This window comes from Homo sapiens, chromosome 9 (genome assembly GCF_000001405.40).
Source record: "Homo sapiens chromosome 9, GRCh38.p14 Primary Assembly".
Classification (NCBI taxonomy): Eukaryota; Metazoa; Chordata; class Mammalia; order Primates; family Hominidae; genus Homo; species Homo sapiens.
This window is the reverse complement of record NC_000009.12, coordinates 122,761,337-122,766,830: the sequence shown is the minus strand read 5'-3', so window position 1 is coordinate 122,766,830 and position 5,494 is coordinate 122,761,337. Positions and strand designations below refer to the sequence as shown.

At 37.4% G+C, this 5,494-nt stretch overlaps 1 pseudogene; it reads right to left on the bottom strand.

Annotated features, from left to right (window-relative positions):
• SKA2P1 (spindle and kinetochore associated complex subunit 2 pseudogene 1) lies at nt 4,175-4,981 on the bottom strand (annotated as a pseudogene).

Below are 5,494 nucleotides of genomic sequence, written 5' to 3'. Positions count from 1 at the left end.
TTTTTTTCTCTGTGCACTTTAAATATATCATTCCATTTTCTTGTAGCCAGAAAGATTTCTGCTGAGAAATTAACTTACAGTTTTATGGAGTTTCCCTTGTATGTGATGAGTTCCTTTGCTTTGCTCCTTTTCAAAACTGTCTCTGTCTTTGACTTTAAAAAAAATATTTCCATAGGTTTTTGGGGAACAGGTGGTATTTGATTACATGAGTATGTTCTTTAGTGGTGATTTGTGAGATTTTGGTCACCCATCACCTGAGCAGTATACACCAAACCCAATTTGTAGTCTTTTATCCCTCACCCCCATTTGTCTTTGACTTTTAATAAATTGATTCTAATGTGTCTCTGTGAAGATCTCTTTGTATTTAATTTATATGAGATTCTTTGGGCTTCACAGATTGGAATGTTCTTTCTCTCTCCAGATTTGGGAAAATTTCCATCGTTTCTTTACATAAACTTTCTGCTCTTTTCTCTTTTTCTGCCCCTTTTGTGATTCTCATAAGCCATATATTGGTTTGCTTGTTGGTGTCCTATAAATCCCATAGGCCTTCCATCCTCTTTTAAATCATTTTTCTTCTGACTGGATAAATTCAGAGGATATTATCTGGATAATTTCAAATGACCTGTCTTTGAACTTACTAATTATTTATTCTGCTTGATTGAGTCTGCTATTAAAGCTCTTTATGAAATTTTTCAGTTCAGTGATTGTGTTCCTTAGCTTCAGAATTTTCATTTGGCTGTTTTTTTGTTTTTTTTTTTTTTTTTTTTTTTTTTTTTTTTTTTTTTTTTTTTTTTACTTGTTATCGCTGAATTCTACTTTTATTTATTTATTTTAATTATACTTTAAGTTTTAGGGTACATGTGCACAACGTGCAGGTTAGTTACATACGTATACGTGTGCCATGTTGGTGTGCTGCACCCATTAACTTGTCATTTAACATTAGGTATATCTCCTAATGCTATCCCTCCCCCGTCCCCCCACCCCACAACAGGCCCCGGTGTGTGATGTTCCCCTTCCTGTGTCCATGTGTTCTCATTGTTCAATTCCCACCTATGAGTGAGAACACGTGGTGTTTGGTTTTTTGTCCTTGTGATAGTTTGCTGAGAATGATGGCTTCCAGCTTCATCCATGTCCCTACAAAGGACATGAACTCATCATTTTTTATGGGTGCATAAAAATATACATTGTATTCCATGGTGTATATGTGCCACATTTTCTTAGTCCAGTCTATCATTCATGGACATTTAGCTTGGTTCCAAGTCTTTGCTATTGTGAATAGTGCCGCAATAAACATACGTGTGCATGTGTCTTTATAGCAGCATGATTTATAGTCATTTGGGTATATACCCAGTAATGGGATGGCTGGGTGAAATGGTATTTCTAGTTCTAGATCCCTGAGGAATCGCCACACTGACTTCCACAATGGTTGAACTAGTTTACAGTCCCACCAACAGTGTAAAAGTGTTCCTATTTCTCCACATCCTCTCCAGCACCTGTTGTTTCCTGACTTTTTAATGATTGCCATTCTAACTGGTGTGAGATGGTATCTCATTGTGGTTTTGATTTGCATTTCTCTGATGGCCAGTGATGATGAGCATTTTTTCATGTGTCTTTTGGCTGCATAAATGTCTTCTTTTGAGAAGTGTCTGTTCGTATCCTTCACCCACTTTTTGATGGGGTTGTTTGTTTTTTTCTTGTAAATTCGTTTAAGTTCATTGTAGATTCTGGATATTAGTCCTTTGTCAGATGAGTAGATTGCAAAAATTTTCTCCCATTCTGTAGTTTGCCTGATCACTCTGATGGTAGTTTCTTTTGCTGTGCAGAAGCTCTTTAGTTTAATTAGATCCCATTTGTCAATTTTGGCTTTTGTTGCCGTTGCTTTTGGTGTTTTAGACATGAAGTCCTTGCCCATGCCTATGTCCTGAATGGTATTGCCTAGGTTTTCTTCTAGGGTTTTTATGGTTTTAGGTCTAACATTTAAGTCTTTAATCCATCTTGAATTAATTTTTGTATAAGGTGTAAGGAAGGGATCCAGTTTCACCTTTCTACATATGGCTAGCCAGTTTTCCCAGCACCATTTATTAAATAGGGAATCCTTTCCCCATTGCTTGTTTTTCTCAGGTTTGTCAAAGATCAGATGGTTGTAGATAAGTGGCATTATTTCTGAGGACTCTGTTTGGTTCCGTTGGTCTATATCTCTGTTTTGGTACCAGTACCATGCTGTTTTGGTTACTGTAGCCTTGTAGTATAGTTTGAAGTCAGGTAGCGTGATGCCTCCAGCTTTGTTCTTTTGGCTTAGGATTGACTTGACCATGTGGTCTCTTTTTTGGTTCCATATGAACTTTTAAGTAGTTTTTTGCAATTCTGTGAAGAAAGTCATTGGTAGCTTGATGGGGATGGCATTGAATCTATAAATTACCTTGGGCAGTATGGCCATTTTCACGATATTGATTCTTCCTACCCATGAGCATGGAATGTTCTTCCATTTGTTTGTATCCTCTTTTATTTCATTGAGCAGTGGTTTGTAGTTCTCCTTGAAGAGGTCCTTCACATCCCTTGTAAGTTGGATTCCTAGGTATTTTATTGTCTTTGAAGCAATTGTGAATGGGAGTTCACTGATGATTTGGCTCTCTGTTTGTCTGTTATTGGTGTATAGGAATGCTTGTGATTTTTGCAGATTGATTTTGTATCCTGAGACTTTGCTGAAGTTGCCTATCAGGTTAAGGAGATATTGGGCTGAGATGATGGGGTTTTCTAGATATACAATCATGTCATCTGCAAACAGGGACAATTTGACTTCCTCTTTTCCTAAATGAATACCCTTTATTTCCTTCTCCTGCCTGATTGCCCTGGCCAGAACTTCCAACACTATGTTGAATAGGAGTGGTGAGAGAGGGCATCCCTGTCTTGTGCCAGTTTTCAAAGGGAATGCTTCCAGTTTTTGCCCATTCAGTATGATATTGGCTGTGGGTTTGTCATAGATAGCTCTTATTATTTTGAGATACATCCCATCAATACCTAATTTATTGAGAGTTTTTAGCATGAAGTGTTGTTGAATTTTGTCAAAGGCCTTTTCTGCATCTATTGAGATAATCAGGTGGTTTTTGTCTTTGGTTCTGTTTATATGCTGGATTATGTTTATTGATTTGCATATGTTGAACCAGCCTTGCATCCCAGGGATGAAGCCCACTTGATCATGGTGGATAAGCTTTTTGATGTGTTGCTGGATTCGGTTTGCCAGTATTTTATTGAGGATTTTTGCATCGATGTTCATCAGGGATATTGGTCTAAAATTCTCTTTTTTTTGTTGTGTCTCTGCCTGGCTTTGGTATCAGGATGATGCTGGCCTCATAAAATGAGTTAGGGAGGATTCCCTCTTTTTCTATTGATTGGAATAGTTTCAGAAGGAATGGTACGAGATCCTCCTGTGCCTCTGGTAGAATTCAGCTGTAAATCCATCTGGTCCTGGACTTTTTTTCGGTTGGTAAGCTATTAATTCTTGCCTCAATTTCAGAGCCTGTTATTGGTCTATTCAGAGATTCAACTTCTTCCTGGTTTAGTCTTGGGAGGTTGTATGTGTCGAGGAATTTATCCATTTCTTCTAGATTTTCTAGTTTATTTGCATAGAGGTGTTTATAGTATTCTCTGATGGTAGTTTGTATTTCTGTGGGATCGTTGGTGATACCCCCTTTATCATTTTTTATTGCGTCTATTTGATTCTTCTCTCTTTTCTTCTTTATTAGTCTTGCTAGCAGTCTATCCATTTTGTTGATCTTTTCAAAAAAGCAGCTCCTAGATTCATTGATTTTTTGAAGGTTTTTTTGTGTCTCTATTTCCTTCAGTTCTGCTCTGATCTTAGTTATTTCTTGCCTTCTGCTAGCTTTTGAATGTGTTTGCTCTTGCTCCTCTAGTTCTTTTAATTGCAGAGCTAGGGTGTCAATTTTAGATCTTTCCTGCTTTCTCTTGTGGGCATTTAGTGCTATAAATTTCCCTCTACACACTGCTTTGAATGTGTCACAGAGATTCTGGTATGTTGTGTCTTTGTTTTCATTGGTTTCAAAGAACATCTTTATTTCTGCCTTCATTTCGTTTTGTATCCAGTAGTCATTCAGGAGCAGGTTGTTCAGTTTCCATGTAGTTGAGCGGTTTTGACTGAGTTTCTTCTTCTTTTTTTTGTTTTGCCTATACTTTAATTTACAAGGCCACATACCGAATGACTGAAATGTACATAAACATTCTTTTATGATAGACCAGAACCTCTACATTATCATGATTTAGAAAAAGAAAACACATGCAAAATAGTGTTAAGAGATTTTCTGGCCTGAAATTACAAGACTAAGTATGTGTGTACATGCGTGTGTACATATATTTAAATCATTTTATTCTCATTTAATCCTTTTGGCTGAACTTTATTCATATATTATCTGCCCTTCTTCTTATAGTCTCTCTCATGAAAGACATCATTATCCAGTCATTGAAGCCAAACTTCCTTCACCAGCCCCCAATCTCTAGACATCAAGGGTTAACAAGACATCTTCCTAAATTTCTCTGGAATTAAGCTCTTCTCTGTTAGAATTTCCTTTCCAAGTCCATTTCTTCATAAATCTGGCACGTGAGATTTGAATTGCTCTGCCGCAGTTTTCTCTTCTTTAGTCAGTGGTGACAGATCCAGGTCTGTTTGCTTCTGTAGTTTTTGTATCACATTCATAGTTTTAGTCATACCAGCACAAATGCGGCTCTTAGTCTCTTTCTGCTCAACAGCAACTGGTTTAAAGCGGGCATACAAAGTTTGATATTGAGACTTTATCACTGACAATTCCTTTAAGAGTGTAACTGGATTTTTCTCACTTGCTGAATCAGGATGATTAGTCTTGATTTCATATTCCAGCCTGTATTGAATGTAATCCAGATCAGACTCAGCTTTCTGGAACATCAGTTCCAGCTTATCGACCTCCGCCTCCATGTTAATAGTTGACATTCCTCCGACTGAGTTTCTTAATCCTGAGTTCTAGTTTGATTGCACTGTGGTCTGAGAGACAGTTTGTTCTAATTTCTGTTCTTTTACATTTGCTGAGGAGTGCTTTACTTCCAACTATGTGGTCAGTTTTTGAATAAGTGCGGTGTGGTGCTGAGAAGAATGTATATTCTGTTGATTTGGGGTGGAGAGTTCTGTAGATGTCTATTAGGTCTGCTTGGTGCAGAGCTGAGTTCAATTCCTCGATATCTTTGTTAACTTTCTGTCTTGTTGATCTGTCTAATGTTGACAGTGGGGTGTTAAATTCTCCCATTATTGTTGTGTGGGAGTCTAAGTCTCTTTGTAGGTCTCTAAGGACTTGCTTTATGAATCCGGGTGCTCCTGTATTGGGTGCATATATATTTAGGATAGTTAGCTCTTCTTGTTGAATTAATCCCTTTACCATTATGTAATGGCCTTCTTTGTCTCTTTTGATCTTTGTTGGTTTAAAGTCTGTTTTATCCAAGACTAGGATTGCAA